This window comes from Homo sapiens, chromosome 9 (genome assembly GCF_000001405.40).
Source record: "Homo sapiens chromosome 9, GRCh38.p14 Primary Assembly".
Classification (NCBI taxonomy): domain Eukaryota; kingdom Metazoa; phylum Chordata; class Mammalia; order Primates; family Hominidae; genus Homo; species Homo sapiens.
The window spans coordinates 14,583,569-14,604,811 of NC_000009.12; the positions used below are offsets into that span (position 1 = coordinate 14,583,569).

The window sequence follows — 21,243 nt, forward strand, 5'->3', positions numbered from 1 at the left end:
AAATGTTCCCATCACAAAAATATATGTTTGAGGTGATGAATATGCTAATTATCCCAATTTAATCATTAAATATTGCATGCATGTATTAAAACATCACTTGCACCCTGTGAATATGAACAATGATTATGTATCAATTTTTAGAATTGATTTTTGTTGAAAGTGTGGCCTTGACCATGACACATTCCTTGCTCAAAAACATTCAATGGCTCCCCATTCTCCAACAATGTAGGAGCTAATACTTCAGACTTGCACAGAAGCACACATAGCTTTCTAGACTCATGTCCCAACACCCTAGGTACACCTCATATTGTGGTAAATTAACACTAGCATGTTTTTGTTTCTGTACTATCCATGTCTTCTCATTTTGCTAATCCTCTTCCATTCATCTGAAATATCCTTCCTGGTTATATCAATTTCTGGAAATCTTATTCATCCTATTAGGTCCAGCTCACTTTCTTCATAAGCCTTTCCTGACCCCACTGGACCACACATCTGCCATTTTTCCTATTTTGTTGACTATTCTGCCTTTTACTATTGCATCTGTGTGCTTTATTGATCAGAAGTGTATCATCAGAAGATGGGGGATTGATTCCCAGCCTAACTGACATACTTAGGGCAAGCCCATAACCCCTTTGAGCCTTGGTTTCTTCATTAATTAGATACATATAATATTTTAGTATAACAGTGATTAAGATTTGGGGATCTGGAGGCAGATAGACTTGGATGTGAGTTTTAACTTTTGCACTGCAATAATGCTTGTAGTGGCCTTATCTATAAAATGGAGATGTGAAAATGATCTACCAGCTACGCTAAGGGTTAAATGAGACAATGTGGAAAACTCTTAGCATAGTGCCTGGCACATGGTAAATGGTTACTAAATATTGCCATCACTAGGATTGTCATTAATTCCTTCAAAAGATTATGATAAACATGTGAAGTAGGACAAAAGCACTCCGATAGCATCAAGGTCCCTACAAACATAGGTTATGATCAACTCTGTAAACGTCGGCTGGAATACAGGATAGGGCAGCAGTTACGGGATCTGTATTCAAATCAGAATGCAGAATGTAGACATGCATGCTGCTATAAACCACAATAGACTGTGTAAATATAAAACACCATCATTAGGTCAGACTCTGTTCCATCTTTATCTCTGAATCTTCTGAGATGGTATGGCACAGTGGAAAGAGGAGAGCCTGGGATTTTATAAATGCCAGAGCAACAAACTCTTGAGTCTCAGGGTTTTTATCTGTAAACTACAGCTAACCACATCCATTGCAGATATTAAACAGGGTGATTATGAAATTCTTACAATAGTATTTGGCATAAAGCAGCTGCTCCATAAAGGTTAGATTTATTTCCCTTATTTCCTCCTTTTACCAAAAGTGCCTCACGTCTAGTACGTATTTAACAAATATTTGTTGAAGCTAATTAAACTTAAAAAATACTAAGAGTATTTGCCTAGAATAAGTGTATTTGTCACAGGAGGATTGGTGCCTTGTCTACTATCAGACTGACTCCTGGAGAAGCCAAAGTAGTTCCTAAGATTTATTTTTTATTTTTAAATAAATTGTATTGATTTGAAAATAAAAACGTTTTATAAAATCTGGGTTGTATAAGAAAGCTTGTTTTTTGAAGGAGAGACATAAATCAAAGCAAGAATTAAAAGGAAACAATATACTGGCACTCCAGAGTAGCTCCAAAGGCTCTTGCTATGTAATGGCCAGATGTAGAGCAAGGAAATTTTCTCTGTTTTTCTATGTGAATCCAGCAAAACAAACCTCAAAGCAAATGTTCTTTCCTCTACAGGCAAATCATAACAATGTATTGAGAGATTGCTGCATCCTAAGTGTTTCACATGTGATAATTCATCTAATCCCCAAACTGCCCCATGAGGTAGATACTACCATCCCCATATCAGAGATTATGAAAATAAGGCACGGAGAGTTTAAGTGTATTGTCCAGGGTCACACAGCTAATAAGTGGCAGAGCCAGGTTTGGAATCTTAGTTCTAGAGAACCTTCTCGTAACTGTTACATACAAAGGATATATTTAGTGACATATTTTAGAAAGCACTAATGTAGTGGTTACACTGACCATAGCTGAACATCTCAATTGTTATGGATTGATACATGGATGCAAATTCCCATTTGACATGAAGCCCTACTGAATCAAATTCTGGTGAGTCCTGGCTGTGGGTACTTTCAGAAGCATCTGTGGAAATGATGTAAGGGTGGAGGAGAATGGCCCTAAAGCTTGGCATGCTGAGGCTAGAGCGAGAAGAGTCTGTGGCCACAATATATCTCTGAAGGTGGTTCTGAGAGTCCCATTTCCTCTTGCGGGCTTCCCCTAGAAACATGAAGGCATCTGAAATCTAGACCAACTTACCACATGCCCGCATCCTCTCAATGTGCAATAGTCACGCGCTCTGCAGCACTTGTAAGGGACTGAAGTCACAGCGCACAGAGTAAAAGGCCACCTTGGGCACTCTTATTATGCCCACATAAACCTTCTACTAGTGCTTGTACCAGCCAAAAAGGCCATGCCAGGTCCCTGAGAAATTCGCAGAATTCAGAAACCGACTACAGATGCTGTAAGGTGTACTTCTACAGAGGGCTGCCACCAAACAATCCCCCTCCTTGACTGTCTTTTCAGCTAGATGGCTCTGAGTGCTTTTCTGCTGGTTTGGGTGCCTTTTTCTCAGGGGGTGGGGAGCAAAACTGGAAAGGGTACTCATTTCTATATTGCTGCTTGCTGCTACAAAGAGGCAAAGTTGAGGGTAACTGCCAACAGCTTCCCCTTTCTCTTCTTTTTCCTCACTGCATCTGTCTGGACCAATGCACAAGGAAAAAAGGCAGCCAGAATGGCCCTCCAAAGTTACTCTGATTTAAAGCTGATAAAGGATGTGTTTTCCACAGCTTAAGAGAAAAATATATTATAAAGTACCTAAGCAATTAAACAAATGTTATTTGTAAACATCTGCCGTCCAGCACTGTTGCCTGTGTTCAAACAAAGCCTCACAGTCTCTTTGGCAAACCAGAGTGAGAAAAGCTGGGTGCCATTTGCTGAATGAACTCTTCCAGATTACAATTCTGTGGCCTGGGGGAATTAATTCAAATCCACATTGGGAAATTAATTCCCAGAGAGGCAGTTAGTCCCTAAAAGAACAACCAAAGAAACGAGGACCTAGAATAAAGTTGGCAGTAATTCAACAAACATTTTATTAACCTCTACTAAACCATATTTATTATTTATGGCCAAATCACAGAATCCTGAAGTTAGAGACTCCAAGGAGAAAATGACACTCCTGGCTGAGAATGACTTCTGTCTCACAGCGCCAGTGCATCTTCTCCAGTTCCTCCAATTGATACCAGCGAAGATGCACCTAAAGATGGAAACTCAGTAGTATCAATGCCCAAAATACATAATCTGGGGGGAAAACACCACTAGTACCTCAAAAGGCAGACTCCAGGTTTGAATTCTGGCTCTACTACAGAATAGCCGGTGACCTTAATTTTCTTACCTGGAAAATAGAGATAATAAGGGATGATTTCATAGTCCTGAGGATTTGAGGAGGTAATGCCTGTAAGGCTCTCAGTACCATGCATGGCATTTAATAAGAAGTCAGTAAATGTCAGCTACTAGTAGTATAGTTTCATGGTTGTTGTTGTTAGTATAAAACAGGATTTTCCCCATTGTCCTGGAATTGCAGCAAATGCATAAACTGATGGCACAAAATGTTCTAGGTTTACGGCAAGGTGCCGGTTTCCATCTTCCCCAACTCCAACACCAGCCAACCTATTAAAATTAAGGAAAAACTGGCAAAGGTGTGTTGCCTGTGAGTGAATATTCATAAGAAGAGTCTATAACCTCCCTTTTCCCATGGGGGAGGATACCTGATGCTTCTCCTCAAAGCTAAGGGAGAAAGACCCTAAAAGAAATTCTAGCTAAGTTCTGTAGGTTCACCAAACCCTCACTTTTCATTAACCAAGAGATTAATGGTCATCTTTCCTCTGAAAGCTGGTAAGGCACCAGGCCTGTTGAGTATGTGTTGTATTGTTTGGTCTTGGAGAAATGAGTGAGGAAGAGATGGTGGAGTTGAGAGAGCTGGCTGAGAAGCTGCTTACATTTCCACTGTTTTCATAGAAAGAATAAAATTTCCACGAGCTGGGTGGATACCACCTAGGGGAGGCTGAACATTTTTCATTTCACCTATACCTCAATAAAGAGCCTCACCTACCATGCAAAAGCATCCCAGCTACAAGATGTTGCCGGGTGGACTGTCTTTCACTGGAGTCAAAGGAGAGGAAAGAGGTCAAGTGGAAGCCTGATCCCTCAAATCAAGGGATCTGCAGAGGGGAGTATCTTTTGTCTCTCCCAGCATTCTCCAGAGAGATGATTAAAGAGCCAGTAAGAGGAAACTAACCACACAGAAGATGTCAACAGTCAGCTGGTGCCGGTAAGAGAAGCAGAAACAGCCAATAGGGAAGAACCTGGCTCTTGTCCTTTGGCCTCTTCCTCTTTCCTACTTGAATCTCTGCATGAGAAAGCAGCTCTGGAGTTTCAACTCTAGTCTGACTTAGGTGTAGGAGTGAAACAGGGCTTTGAATTGTACAAAAGATTAAAATTAGGCCGGGCGCAGTGGCTCATGCCTGTAATCCCAGCACTTTGGGAGGCCGAGGCGGGTGGATCACCTGTGGTCAGGAGTTCGAGACCAGCCTGGCCAACATGGTGAAACCCCTTCTCTACTAAAAACACAAAAATTAGCTGGGCGTGGTGGTAGGTGCCTGTAATCCCAACTACTCGGGAGGGTGAGGCAGGAGAATCGCTTGAACCCGGGAGGCGGAGGTTGCAGTGAGCCAAGATTGCGCCACTGCACTCCAGCCTGGGCGACAAGAGCGAAACTCTGTCTCAAAAAAAAAAAAAAAAAAAGATTAAAATTAAACATGAGCAAGGCTTAACTATCAGAATAAATGTTTTGATAAAGAAAAGTGACTGAAAAACATTACAGAATCTAAGCAAAATGTCATTAAGGGAGCCATCATCCAGTAGCACAAATGGGAGTTAACAGGGCACAATTATTTACAAAAACAGCTTTATATCTTTGCTCCAATGGGTTGAGATTCCTCAATAAAGTATAGATGATGATGGTGGTGGTAATGATGATGATGATTAGTTATAAGGCTGACGGAACAAGATCTTTTAAAAAGTATCTACAGAGGCTTCAATTCACAATCAACTCTGGCTTTATTTCATGTAACAGAAGCAGCCTGAGAAAAAGCATAAAGGATTCCATATGTTTCCACAATGAGCCCACTGACTCAGATGATCAAGCCGATATCAGTGAGGAAAATGGAGTACTATCCCTCGTGACCCATGAGAAATTGCTCTATAAAAACAAATTTATCCTATAGTAGTCCTCCTCATCATCCTCTTGCAACCAAGCAGGTAATACAATAAAAATACAAAAAAAAAAATTATGGCTCATAAATTAGAGAAGAAGCTGTGATGCTGTATGACATCTGCAGCACACATTCATAAAGCACTGGGGTAGGGGTCAATGAATGAGCCTCAACAGAAGTGCTCTCTAGTCATTGTACTTCTCCGTGCCCTCTCTTGGCTCAAACTGCCAGAGATAAACACATAATGAAGAAAAGGAGAGGCAACTGCAACTGCATTACTGTTTGAAAAGTAATGGAGGCTCCTGTAACAAGAAAGAATTGGAGAAAATGTATGAAACCACCATTCTCACACATTGGCTGACAGGTGGTATAGTACTACTATAATCCCTGAAAAAAAGGAAAATAAATGAGGTGACTCCTGAAATTCCCTTAGATTTCTGTTTGCAGTCACTTGGTAGACCATTGTATAAGAGGGGAATCCAAGCAGAGTAGTAGTTTCACTGAATTGAAGACACGGAGGCTGGAGTTTTCAGGGCACATAACCACAAAGGAAGGTATCCTGCAGAGCAAAAGTTTCAGAAATCTTCATGAGATCTCCAAGACTGTTGTTGGATACAGAGCCACACTTGAGTAGGATGAGACTGCAAGGCTGAACAAAAAAAAATTACTGCGAAATTGGGAGCTGAACAATTTTCAGAGTTCACACAGGGTTGGAGACATTCAAATTGAACACATGCCTTAGTTATAGGATAAAACTAAAACTAGGTTTTATTATACTTGAAGTAGCATAGCCTTTTCGACAAAAGTTAAAAACAAGTCTCAGAATGATCAAGCTGATTTGCAAGTAATTCAACTATCAAAACGAAGTCCAATACTTTTAAAGGCAAGTGCAAAAGCAGTCACTCCAAAATGCTAAATTAAAACAATCCAGCATCCAACTAAACTTTACTAAATATGGGAAGAAGCAAGGATATGTGACCATGATGAGGAAGAAAGTTAGTCAATAAAAACAGATGCAAAAATGACAGATGATGGAATTAACAGACAAGGAGCTTAAAACACAGCTGTTATAACCATGTTTAAGTATTTAAAGAAAAACATGTATATAATTAAAAGAGAAATGAATGATATAAAGAAAAACTAAATATGACTTCTGGAGATGAAAAATACAATATCTAAAATGAAAATTTCACGGTTAGCAGCAGGGTTAGCAGCAGATTAGACACTGCAGAGGAAAAGAGAGTGAACATGAAACATAGAAACTATTCAAACAAAAGGACAGGCAGAAAAAAAGCCTTGGAAAATATGAACTGAGTCTTAGTAAGCTAGGTGACAATACTAAGTCATATTACTTGTGTTTAGGAGTAAGGAATTGGACAAAATATTTGAAGTTATAACAACCAAAGTTTTCCAAATCTGATGAAAATAATAGACTCAAATTTAAACTCAAGTAGATAATCACAATGAAAACCACACCAAGACACATCATACTTAAACTACTAAAAACCAGAGATAATGGGACTATTTCTAAAATGGAGAAAAATGACATATTGAATAAAAGAAAAAAATTTCACAGACTTCTCACCAGAAAATATAAATACCAGAAAATAATAGAATGGAAGGGGCTGAATGTGGGGAGGGGACAAACTCCACCAACCTCAAATTCTATATTCAACAAAAATATGCTTCAGAAATGAGGGTGAAAGAAAAATTTTTCAGACAAACAGATGCTGAGCAAATTTATCATCAGCAAGCCTGAATCACAAGAAATGTAAAAGGAAATTCTCAGACAGAAGGATAAAGATGCTACATGAAAACTAGGATCTACAAAAGGAACGAAGAGCACCAGAAATGATAAACATATGGGGAAATTTGAAAGATATTTTTCCTACTTTTAAATTTTTTAAAAAGATAACTGACTGGCAAAAGAAAAGTAATAATAATGTATCAGGAAGTTTATAACACATATATCAGAAAAATATACAACAATATGCAATAGAACAAAGGGGGAAATAGAAGCAAAATGTTGTGTGTTTTTACATTATACTTGAAGTAGCACAGTAATATCTAAGGGTAGTCTGTGATATGGCATATTGTAATTCTAACAGAAACCATTAAAAATTAAAAGAGGTATACCTCATAAACCAATAGTGGGAATAAAATGGGGTAAAGGAAAATACTGAGTTACTCCAAAAAAGGCAGGAAAAGGGAACAAAGAACAGATAGAACACTATAATTTGAATGTTTCTGTCCCTTCCAAAATTCATGTTGATATATAATTCCTAACATAATGGTATTAAGAGGCGTGACCTTTAGGAGATTATTAGGTCATGAGGGATCTGTCCTCATGAACAGATTAGTGCCTTATTAGAGGATTGAGGGAGTAAATTTGGTCCCTTTTAGCACTTTTGTCCCTTCTGCCACTGAGAATGCAACAAGAAGGTCATCAAACACTGAATCTGCTGGAGCCTTGATCTTAGACTTTCCAGCCTTCAGAACTATAAATACATTTCTGTTCTTTATATATTCTCCAGTCGCAGGTATTTTGTGATAGCAGCAGACATGAGACGAATAATAATCAAACAGCAAGATGACAGACTTAAACACAATTATCATGAAGTTATATGAAATGTAAATGGCTTAAGTCAGCAGTTCTAAAACTGGTCCATGATCCCTTCATACAAATTGAGACATAACATCAGTCTTTACTAGTAATCATCGTATTGTCCATCATGAAAACTACAAGAAAAAAGCCAATTTCACTCACAAAAATACTTCATGAAACAGTAAAAGTTACTGATATAAAATTATAACCTTTCAGTATATCTCTTATAAAATATTCTTCTATCTAGTAATATTTCTTAGCTTAAAATCTATTTTGCCTGATACCAAGGTAGCTATTCTAGCTCTTATGATTACTGCTTGCATGATATCTGTTTTTTAATTTTCTTATTTTCAACCTATTTATGTCTGAATCTAAATTTTATCTTACAGACATATAGTTGGATCTTGCTTTTTATACAGTCTGAAAATGTTTGCCTTTTTATTGAGGTTTTTACTCCATTTACATCAAAGTATTATTGGTACAATTGGATGTCTGCATGCCATTTTTACAATTAGTTTTTCTGTGTCTTATATATTTTTTTCTCTGTTCCTTTCTTCCTGCTTTTGTATTAAACATCTATTTTTAGTGTAACATTTTAATTCCTCTATTGATTTTAAGCATATTTTACTGGCTTATTTTCTTAGCAGTTAGTGTAACAATTAGAATGTCCATTGTAACTCATCACAATCTATTCTGGATTTATACTTATTTAATTCGGTAAAATACAGAAACTTTGTTTCGATATAATTCCATTTCCTTCCTTCCTCTTTCTCTTTTAAAATATATATATTTATACATATTTACTGCTTCATGAAGGATTTTCTTAAGTGATATTGACTTGTACATGTATTTTCTGTTATAAACCCAACAGTACAGTATACAGTCAGGACCACATAGCAATTATAAATCTATACATACCTAACAAGAGCACTCTCAAATACATAAAGCAAAACCTGAAAGAATTAAAAGAACAAATAACAATTCAACAATATTTAAAGATTTCAATACCCCATTCTCAATAATTGACAGAAAATCTAAACAGAAAAGCAGTGAGGATATAAAAGACTTCAACAAACACATCAACCAACTGCCCTAACTGACATTTATAGAATACTGTAACCTACTACTATCAGAATACATGTTCTTCTCAAGCACATATGAAAAATTGTTCAAGATACATCATATGCTAATCCATAAAATAAATCCTAATAAATTAAAATAACTGAACTCATACAAAGTGTGTTTTACAGCCACAAAGGAATTAAATTAGAAATCAACAGCAGAAACAAATTTGAGACATCTCCACATTCGGAAATTAGACAACATACTTCTAAACAATCCATGATCAAACAACAGATCAAATGGGAAATTAAGATAGTTTTAATTGAATAAAAAAGAACACAGCATATCAAAATTTATGTGGTACAGCTAAAGTAGTACAGGGAGGGCAATTTATAGCTTTAAAAATCTATATTAGAAAAAATAAAGGTTTCAACCAAATAACTTAAGCTTCCATCTCAAAAAGTAAACTCAAAGCAAGTAGAAAAAAAGAAATAGGGAGGAAATTAGAAATCATAGCACAAACAAAGGAAATGGAAAATGACAACAATAAAGAAAATCAAGATAAAAGTATGTATTTTAAACAGATTAACAAAATTGACAAACCTTTAAGTACACTAACTAAACAAAACAAAAAAAGAAGATAGGTTTCCAAAATTAGGAATGAAAGAGAGGACATCACTACTGACACTACAAAAATTGAAAGGATTTTAAGGGACTATTATGAACAACTTTATGTCAACATATTAGATAACGTGAATAAAAGAGACGAATTCCTAGAAAATACATAAATTTCCAAAACAGGCTTAACAGGAAATACAAAAAATCTGAATAGATCTTCTCCACCCTGTGCTGGCCAGATGTCACACCCTACTCGGTGGTGGTGAGTGGGACGATGACAGTGGACTGGGCTGGGCAGGCAACCATCATGACACATGACACAATGTTTGCTCAAGGATTAAAGAGGAAATGCGTTGACTACAAGGAAGACATGAAAGGAGCCCTGATCAGTTTTGAGACTGTCCCTTTCTATAATCTTCAATGACAGTCACTTCTGGACATGTCCCTAGTTAAGCTACAGCTCTGCCACATGCTGGTCCAGCCCAACCTCTGCCACTGGGTCCTCATAACCAACACTGTCCTACAGATTCAAGAGAGATGACCCAGGATGGAAAATGGTGGATGGCGGTGCCCCAGGGTGAAGGGCAAGTGCTTCTAGACCACCTGGTCTCTGCAGAGATCCTGAGCCACTAAGTGGGAAGAGCTCCCTGAGCCACTAACTGGGAGCAGGAGGGGATGTACCCTGTTCCTGGCTTGGGAGACAGCTTGGGGAAACAGGGCCTAGTTTCTGAACTTTCCCTGGTCACCTCAGCACAGTAATCGAGGAACCCACAGAGCAGCATCTAAGAAATGGATAGCCCTCAAGCAAATAGAGGAAGTTTTCAAAAATTGCTAGATAAGATATTTGAAAATCTGGAGAATAAAAACCCCAGTTCCATGGAAAAGCTTTTTTCAGATGTAGATAGTTCCTACTATGACCTGGTCACGGTGCAATGGGCATGGTGAGCAGCACCAATGAGGATGAAATAATCCTAAAATTCATATGAAAATACAAAGGACCTAAGATAGGTAAAATAATTTTGAAAGAAAAGAACAAAGCTGGATGATTTATACTACCTGAACTCAAAACTTAATATAAAGCTACAGAGTGGTATTGTTATAACGATAAGAACAACAGAACATAATTCACATGCTAGAAATAAGCATTACATTACGATCAATTGATTATCAATAAATTTGCCAAAACAATTCAATGGGGAAAGACAGTCTTTTCAGCCAATGATACTGACACAACCGGATTATCTATATGTAACGAAACAAAGAAAACTTAGACCCTCACTTCACAGTATACATAAAAATTAACTCAAAATGGATCACAGTAGATATAAATGTAAAACCTAGAACTATGAAACTTCTAGATAAAAACCTGCATGACCTTGGGTTAAGCAAAGACCTCTTAGATAATATCAAAAGCATGATCACTTTTAAAAATGATAAATTGGAATTCATCAAAAATTTTGTGCTTCAAAGGATATCATTAAGAAAATGAAAAGACAAACCACAAACTAAAAGAAAATATTTGCAAATCATATATCTGATAAAGTCCTTGTATCCAGAACACATAATTCTTATAATAATAAGTAAACAATTTAATAAGTGGGCAAAAATTTTGAATAGACAGTTTATCAGAGAAGATATCCAAATGGTTAATAAACATACACATAAAAATACGTTCAACATCACTAGCCATTTGAGAATGTCAAATTAAAACCGCAATGAAATGCCACTACATATTAACTTGGATGGCTATAATAAAAAAGATAAGTTATTAGTGCAGATGTGGAAAACTGAAAAACTCATACATTTCTAGTAGTCAGGTAAAATGTGACATACACTTTTAAAACTAGTTAATAGTTTATTAAAAAATTAAATATAAATTTACCATTCAATGCAGATTTCCACTCTTAGGTATCTACCCCAGATAAATAAAACATATGTCCACACATTTTTATGTAAATTCAAAGCAGTATTACTCATAATAGCCAAAAACTGAAAGCAATCCACATGTTCATCAACTGACAAATGGATAAGCAAAATGTGGCATATTCATAAGACAGAGTTCTGTTCAACAATAAAAAGGCATAGATTACGGACACATGGTACAACATAGATAAACCTCAAAAACACTACATTAAGTGAAAAGAGTCAGACATAAAAGACTACATAATGTATGATTCCATTTATAGTAACTGCCTAGAAAAATCAAATCTATAAAAGCATATTAGTGGTTGCCAGAGTCCAAGGGGTCTTTCTAAGGTGATGGAAATGTTCTAAAACTGAATTTTGGTGAAGGTTGTACAACTATACATTTACTACAAAATATTCAATTGTGCACAATATAACAGGTGAATTTTAAGGCATGTAAGTAACAAACAGGAAGAAAATATAAATACATCTGACAAAGGAATGGTATCCAGAATATATAACAAACTCTTTTGACTCAGTAAGAAGACAACCCAATTAAAAATGGTCAAAAGATTTGAAAGCACATCTCCATTGGCTGCAAATGCCATGAAGGAAAAAAAAGAAGACATCTCCAAAAGAAGAAAATACAAGATCAGTCAATATGCACATAAAAGATGTTCAACATCATTAGCCATCAGGCAAATGTAAATTAAAATCACAACCAGATACACTAGAGTGGCTAAAACTTGAAAAGTCCCATAATACCAAGTACTGGAAAAGACACGGAGCAACTGGAACACTCATACATTGCTGGTGGGAGTGTAAAATGGCATGATCATGAAAAATTTGGTAGTTTCTTATTAAATCAAACATAAACCTACCATTCAACCCAGTAATTCTACTCTAAGGCATTTATCCAAGGGAAATGAAAACATGTCTTTACAAAGACTTGTATGTGAATGTTCATGGCAGTTTCATTTATAGAACAAAATGGAAAGCAACCCAAATGTTTATAGTAAATGAATCGATAACAAATTGAAGATTGGTAATACAATGGAATTTGGCTCAGCAACAAAATGGAACAGCAGAATGAGTATGACCCCCCGTGTCTTTTCACCTCATCCTTCAGTAGTGGTGGTAGCCACAGCATCACTCTTCAGTGGCAACATGAGGCTGCGCCCCAAGCAAGCCGCTAGGTTGTTGGTATGAAGAGGTGGGGCTCAGTGCCCTGAAGGAGTGTGTGTAAGATGGGTATGGCTACCTGGAAATGGGTGGCATCCCTAGAAAACCTTCCACATACCTACATGCTGCTTGTGTGTGTTGTTGGCCACCTCTCCAAGAGCAGAGCAGTGAGAGTATTCACTGGTCCGGTAGGAAAAGCAGTGGGGACTGAGACCTGGTACCATCTCCTGGTCCTCCCTGCAGAGAAAAGATGAAAACTAGCAAGAGCTTGACTAACAAATGCCTGGATTCAGATAGGAAGACTTCCTTTGTCTATTGCTTCATTCCTGGAAATTGCACTGGAACTCTCTGATTAAGAAAAAGCAAATAATTCTGAAAGAAAAAAAAATAACAGAGAACAAAATATCCCAGAATTCCTAATAGAATAAATTACTGGCTGGTGGCTAGAGGTACGTGGCACTTGTCTCCTCCAGAAAGGGCCTAAACAGTGAGTAGAAGATCACACATTGAATACAGCATCTTAGAGAGAACATTGGAATTCAGCAGGGCAGTGTCAGAGAACTTCTGAGGCATGGAAGGAGAGAGAAGTGAAGCAGCCAGCATGGTTGGGATAGGCTCAAAGCCAGGAGAAACTTTCCAGTGCCGGGAAAAGGTAAGTGAGAGATCCCCCAGTACACTTTTCCATTGTGAACTCCTGCAATCTTAGCCAAGGTAGAGCCCCTCAGCCCTCACAGGCCCTGAGACTAGTATAGGGAAATGCCTGAAGTCCATGCAACAGCATTGTTCCAGAGAGGGAGTTTGTTTTGGATGTGTCCCACACACCCCGAGACCCAAGCAACTATAGCATGGTGCCATTTGAGAGCTCAGCTCCCACCAGACTACATTCTTCCCTAGGGCCCAACACCCTCTCTATCTCCACGTCCCTGGAGCCCTGCTGCCATTCCACCACATCCACCAAGAGGGCTGCAGCAGAACAATGCTGGCTGGACTCAGCAGTGTGGCTGGGTATCCAGCACTCTAGCCCAAGCAGTATCCTACATCCCAGGGAATGGACAGTGCAGTGGACCAGGGAGGCTGCTCTGGCACAAAGGGAGCTGAAGCACACACTCCTCAGAATCTGAGAGCGGCCTGCCTTGGGCCAATGCCACTGAGAACAACGCAGTCCCTTCCCTAGCAGCAGAGTCACCGCACACCTGCATGTGCTTTCAGGAGACCCAGGGACCAGCTTGCCCCAGTGCCACGCAGAGGCCTGAGGACAGGTCTGCCCCAGCCCTCACTGCTGGTACCTGCACATACCATCCGGGGGTCTGAGGTAAGGTCTGTCCCACCCACTGCTACTGCTGCCTCCATCCAAGTGCACCATCCAGGAGCCTGAGAACTGATCTGCCCTACCTGCCACCACTGGCAGCCACACACAGCAACACGAGCCCTGACAACAGGCCTGCTCTGCTCACCACCACCAGCACCTGTGCCTACCTTCTGGGGGTCTAAAGACAGACCCACCCAGCCTACCAACACCCAGACACATCATCTGGGTACCTGAGAATTAACCCACTCTACCCACTACCATCAACATGCCCTCCCCCTCCACACAACTGAGGGGCCAGAGAACTTGCCTGCCCAGCTCACTGCCACCGCAACTGGTGCCCACACATGCTGCTTGGGGGCCTGAGAGTTGGCCTACCACCACTACTGGCATTATCAAAGCCATGCATACTGACCAAAGGCCCAAGGGCCCACCGACCTCTCTGGCCCACTGCCTCCACAACCAGCCCAGAGCAAGCTGCCTGGAGGCTCAAGGATTAGTCCACCTAGACCTACTACTGCAGTGCCCATGTATGCTGCCCAAAGACCCAAGGGCCAACATACCTAGCCAACTGCCTCTACCACTGGTGACTGAGTACTAGCTCACCTGGTGTCCTCATCTCCAGCAAAGCCTCACCACAACTTTCACTAACAACCATAGCCTAAGCCACTGTGAACTGACAGACACTACTGATGCTGATTACACCCATAGAAATAATACGACGACTATACTACTGTGCCCACTCAGAATCAAAACCAAATCACCCTACCCAACCAACACTATAGATACATCTATAGGAAAAAGTATTTCCCTATGAAAGCCAATCCATAAAAAGGAAAAAGCAACTATTACATGAGATGTGCAGATATCAATGTAAGGACACAAGAAACATGAAAAAGCAAGGAAATGTGACATGTCCAAAAGAACACAATGATTCTCCATCAAAAGATTCCAACAAGAAAAAAATATCTATGAAATGCCTGGAAAAAATGCAGAATGATATTTAAAAAGCTCAGTGAAATATAAGAGAACACAATACAAAAAATAGAAAAGCAATTCATGATCTGAATGAGAAATATATTTTTTATTATTTATTTAATTAATGTATTTATTTATTTTTAAGACAGGGTCTCACTCTGTCACCCCAGCTGGAGTGCAGTGTGGCACAATCATGCCTCACACTGCAGCCTCAACCTCTCCCAGCACAGGTGATTCTCCCACTCCAGTCTCCCAAGTAGCTGGGACCACAAGCATGTGACATCCCAGGCCTAGCTAAATTTTTTTTTGTTATTTTTGTAGAGACAGGGTTTCACCATGTCACCCAGGATGGTCTCGAACTCCTGAGCTCAAGCGATCCTCCTGCCTTGGCCTCCCAAAGTGCTAGGATTACAGATGTGAGCCACCTCACCCATCCCTGAGTGTGAAATTTAACGAAGAGATAAACATAAAAAAAGAACCTGATTCTCTCTTGCTGCCACCATGTAAGAAGTGCCTTTATGGGGCTGGCAAGATGGCCGAATAGGAACAGCTTTGGTCTGCAGCTCCCAGTGAGATCAATGCAGAAGGCGGGTAATTTCTGCATTTCCAACTGAGGTACCCGGCTCATCTCATTGGGACTGGTTAGACAGTGGGTGCAGCCCACAGAGGATGAGCCAAAGCAGGGTGGGGCATTGCCTCACTTGGGAAGCACAAGGGGTTGGAGAACTCCCTCTCTTAGCTAAGGGAAGCTGTGAGGGACTGTGCCATGAGGGACAATGCTATCCAGCCCAGACATTACACTTTTTTCATGGTCTTCACAACCTGCAGACCAGGAGATACCCTCAGGTGCCTATATCACCAGGGCCCTGGGTTTCAAGCACAGAAATGGATGGCTGTTTGGGCAGACACTGAGCTAGCTGCAGGAGTTTTTTTTTTTTCCCATACCCCAGTGGCGCCTGGAATGTCAGCAAGACAGAATTGTTCACTCCCCTGGAAAGGGGGCTGAAGCCAGGGTGCCAAGTGATATAGCTCAGTGAATCACACCCCCACAGAGCCCAGCAAGCTAAGATCCACTGGCTTGAAATTCTTGCCACCAGCACAGCAGTCTGAAGTCAACCTGGGATGCTCAAGCTTAGTGGGGGGAGGGGCGTCCAGCATCACATCAAAAAGCTTATCCACCACAATCAAGTGGGCTTCATCCCTGGGATGCAAGGCTGGTTCAATATATGCAAATCAATAAACATAATCCATCATATAAACAGAACCAATGACAGAAACCACATGATTACCTCAATAGATGCAGAAAAGGCCTTAGATAAATTTCAATACCCCTTCATGCTAAAAACTCTCAACAAACTAGGTATTGATGGAACATATCTCAAAATAGTAAGAGCTATTTATGACAAAACCACAGCCAATATCATGCTGAATGGGCAAAAGCTGGAAGCATTCCCTTTGAAAACTGGCACAAGACAAAGATGCCCTTTCTCACCACTCCTATTCAACATAGTATTGGAAGTTCTAGCCAGGGCAATCAGGCAAGAGAAAGAAATAAAGGGTATTCAAATAGGAAGAGAGGAAGTCACATTGTCTCTGTTTGCAGATGACATGACTGTATATTTAGAAAACCCCATTGACTCAGCCCAACATCTCCTTAAGCTGATAAGCAACTTCAGCAAAGTCTCAGGATACAAAATCAATGCGCAAAAGTCCCAAGTATTCCTACCCACCAATAGCAGACAGAGAACCAAATCATGCATGAACTCCCATTCACAACTGCTACAAAGAGAATAAAATACCTAGGAATACAACTTACAAGGAATGTGAAGGAACTCTTCAAGGAGAACTATAAACCACTGCTCAAGGAAATCAGAGAGGACACAAACAAATGATAAAACATTCCATGCTGATGGATAGGAAGAATCAATATGGTGAAAATGGCCATATTGCCCAAAGTAATTCATAGATTCAAGGTTATCCCCATCAAGTTACCATTGACTTCACAGAACTAGAAAATACTACTTTAAATTTCACATGGAACAAAAAAAAAGAGCTGGTATAGTCAAGAGAATCCGAAGCAAAAAGAACAAGGCTGGAGGCATTATGCTACCTGACTTCAAACCATACTACAAGGCTACAGTAACCAAAACAGCATGGTACTGGTATGAAAACAGATATATAGACCAATGGAACAGAACAGAGGCCTCAGAAACAACGCCACACATCTACAACCATCTGTTCTTTGACAAATATGACAAAAACAAGCAATGGGGAAAGGATTCCCTTTTTAATAAATGGTGTTGGGAAAACTGCATGGCCATATGCAGAAAACTGAAACTGACCCCTTCCTTACACCTTATACAAAAAATTAACTCAAGATGGATTAAAGACTTACTGTAAGACCTAAAACCATAAAAACCCTAGAAGAAAACTGAGGCAATACCTTTCAGGACATAGGCATGGACAAAGACTTCATGACTAAAACACCAAAAGCAATGGCAACAAAAGCCAAAATTGACAAATGGGATCTAATCAAACTAAAAAACTTCTGCACAGCAAAAGAAACTATCATCAGGGTGAACAGGCAACCTACAGAATGGGAGAAATTTTTTGCAATCTACCCATCTGACAAAGAGCTAATATCCACAATGTACAAGGAATTTAAACCAACTTACAAGAAAAAAACAACCCCATCAAAAAGTGTGCAAAGGATATGAACAGGCACTTCTCAAAAGAAGACATTTTGCAGCCAACAGACACATGAAAAAAAGGTCATCATCACTGGTCATTAGAGAAATGCAAATCAAAACAACAATGAGATACCATCTCATGCCAGTTAGAATGACAACCATTAAAAAGTCAGGAAACAACAGATGCTGGAGAGGATGTGGAAAAACAGGAACACTTTTACACTGCTGGTGGGAGTGTAAATTAGTTCAACAATTGTGCAAGACAGTGTGGCAATTCCTCAAGGATCTATAACCAGAATTACCATTTAACCCAGCAATCCCATTAATGGGTATATACCCAAAGGATTATAAATCATTCTACTATAAAGACACATGTGCATGTATGTTTACTGCAGTACAATTCATAATAGCAAAAACTATGAACCAACCCAGTTGTGCATCAATGATAGACTGGATAAAGAAAATGTGGCACATATATATCATGGAATACTATGCAGCCATTAAAACGGATGAGTTCATGTCCTTTGCAGGGACATGGATGAAGCTGGAAACCATCATTCTCAGCAAACGCTCACAGGAACAGAAAACCAAACACTACATGTTCTCACTCATAAGTGGGAGTTGAACAATGAAAATATATGGACACACGGAGGGGAACATCACACACCAGGGCCAGTCAGGAGGTGGGGGAGCTAGGGGAGGGATAGCATTAGGAGAAATACCTAATGTAGGTGACGGGTTGATGGGTGCAGCAAACCACCATGGCAAGTGTATATCTATGTAACAAACCTGCATGTTCTACACATGCATCCCAGAACTTAAAGTATAATAATAATAATAAAAAGAACCTAACAGAAATATCGGAACTGAAGAATTCAATGAATGAAATAAAAAAATTCAATAGAGAGCTTCAACAATAGACTAGATCAAGCAGAAGAAAGAATTTCTCAACTTGAAGACAGGTCATTTGAAATAATTCAGTCAAATTTAAAAAATGAAGAAAGCCTACAATGACACAAGGGACCTCATAAAGTGACAAAGTATTCGCATCTTGGGAGTTCCATGAGATGAGATGGCCAAAGGCACAGAAAACTTATTTAATGAAATAATAGCTAAAAACTTCCCAAGTCTTGCCAGAGATACAGGCATCTAGATAGACAAAGTGCAGTGATTCCCAAGTATATTAAACCTGAACAGGTCTTTTCCAATGCACACACCATATAGTCAAACTGTCAAATGCCAAAGCCAAAGGAAATAAATCTAAAAGCAGCAAGAGAAGAGCATCAAGTCACATATAAGGAAATCCCCATCAGACAAACAGATTTGTCAGTAGAAAATTTATAGGTCAGAAAAAATGGGATGACATTTTTAAATTGCTGAAACGAAAAGAAACATACTCACAACATGAATGAATCTCAAAAATATGCTGAGCAAAAGCCAGTGAAAAACAAAGGACAAAAGCCAGGCACAGTGAATTGCACTTATAATCCCAGCCACTCGGGAGGCTGAGGCAGAAGGCCTGCTTGAGCCCAGGTGTTCGAGGTTACAGTGAAGTTATGATCATGCCACTGCATTCCAGCAGCCTGGAAAACAGAGAGAGAGACTTCATCTCAAAAAAAAAAAAAAAAAAAAAAAAAAAGGGAGAATTTCATTCATGCGAAATTCTGTAAAAGGCAAATCTAACTTACAGTCACAGAAAACAGGTCCGCGTTTCCTGGAGGGGTGGGAGTTGAGGGGGAGCAGTAAAGTGGCCTGAGGAAACTTTTTGGGTGATTGAATATTCCATATTTTGAATATGTTGATAGCTACATGGATATACATATTTCTAAAAACTCACTGAAATGTACTTAAAATGAATACATTTTGTTGTGTTTAAACTATCCCTCAATAAAGTGAACTTTAAAAATGGAAGACAGAAAATAATGTATTAAACTCCAAATTATATTTTTAAAAGTATGATAGGAAATAAAAACATAAATTCTTATGTCAAATAGGAGGAGTTACCTCCTATTTGAGGTACCATTTCTTACATGAATATTACAATTAGAAATATATAGGTAAATCCTCCTGAAATTTTTAAGATAACCACTGGAAGAATTAAATGCATGCTATACTTCAAGGACACAAATGACACTGCAAATCAGATGTGAAAAAATGTGCTAAACAAAAAATTGTTGTGGTATTTTTCCCCAGTGTGGTTTTTACTTCTATGAAGACCCAGTAACAAGCACAACCGTAACATGAAAGATTTGGATTCAACCACTTTTACATAAACGCAACCAAAGCTCGTTAATCTACCCTCATGTGATATATAAATTACTGAGCTAATCTTGATTTGCTAGATAAATAAAATATGAAAATAAGATCTCAACAGGCAATACTTATTTTTATAAGGACTTTACAAATTTATCTACCTGTGAAATATTTAGAAAAAGGGAATCGCTGCTCTTTATTAAGAAACAAATACAATCAAGTGGATCCTGAACTTTAGAGGGGTCGAACTCTAAGTATTCAGTAATGTGGTTTATCTCTGGCTACCTCATAAGAGCATAATTTTTTATTCATATTTATAGTCGTAGATGTTGACTCATCCCTTGATTTGCCTTAAGAAAATATATCCTTCATGAATTATTGAGTTATTAGAGTCATGTTTTTATTCACTTTTTCTCTCGATATTTACAAAGACTTTTTCCAGAAAATTACATTAGATTCCTGGCAAATCGATTGGACTGACAAATGATGCAGGAAGCAGCAAAAATATGTATCAATAACAAATAGGAAAAACTCATTACATAGGGTTAGTGAGGATGTGGGGGAAGATGAAACAATATATATGTTGGTTGGAGTGTAAATTGGTTTGACTAAAGAGCAATTTGGGAAAGCTTTTACAGTTGAAGATGCACATACCTTACCATTCCACTATTTCACTTCTCTTTGAACAAGTTAATAACAAAGGAAATAATCCACTTAGTGAATAATATATAAACTACAGTTTATTCAAATAATTGTTCTGTGGGATTTATAATGAATGGCCCAAATCTACATTAATAAAGATGTTTTGTTTAAAAAATGTGATGCTGATTAAAATTTACATAAATGTAAAATTTGAAAATAGTATCATTTATGGATGCTACATACATCATAAAAGCACAAAAACATTCATGAAAATAATTCACACTGACTTTAGGATGGCGGCTACCTCTAGGGAGGAAAACTGCAGGTTGAGGACTTAGATGTATCTGTAACATTGCATGTTTTTAGAAAACAAAGTGAGAAAACTGAAAAAAGCAAAACATTAGCATGTAATTAATCTTGGTATTTTTAATTACACAAATTTAGTAAACTCTCCAGTTATTATTTTTCATACTTCACATTACTTTTTATTGTGGCAAAAAGCACATGAGATCAATCCTCTTAGTAAATTTTTAAATATACAGTACGGTACTGTTAAATTTTAAGTATAGTGCAGTACTATAAGCATAATGTTATACAACA

General features: G+C 38.6%; 1 protein-coding gene and 1 pseudogene across 2 annotated transcripts in view, besides 1 other annotated feature; one reads left to right on the top strand and one right to left on the bottom strand.

Annotated features, from left to right (window-relative positions):
• Positions 1-5,228: 5,228 nt before the first annotated feature.
• ZDHHC21 (zDHHC palmitoyltransferase 21) overlaps positions 5,229-21,243 on the bottom strand; it is a 104,636-nt gene continuing 88,621 nt past the window's right edge. The window contains exons 12-13 of one of the 2 annotated variants that reach the window (XR_001746285.2): positions 19,150-19,331; positions 5,229-8,960 (exon numbers count right to left, since the gene is read on the bottom strand). The gene's annotated coding sequence lies outside the window, so the exon portion shown is untranslated. The remainder of the gene's footprint in view (positions 8,961-19,149; positions 19,332-21,243) is intronic. The other variant, XR_001746284.2, reaches the window with a different exon arrangement.
• On the top strand, positions 10,010-10,617 carry CDCA4P1 (cell division cycle associated 4 pseudogene 1; annotated as a pseudogene).
• Positions 13,733-14,264: an enhancer, noted in NCBI's record as "H3K27ac-H3K4me1 hESC enhancer chr9:14597299-14597830 (GRCh37/hg19 assembly coordinates)". NCBI's record gives its function as "activates a minimal SCP1, AML or CMV promoter by ChIP-STARR-seq in naive H9 embryonic stem cells {active_cell/tissue: H9 hESC(naive)}" and the evidence as "EXISTENCE:reporter gene assay evidence [ECO:0000049][PMID:30033119]".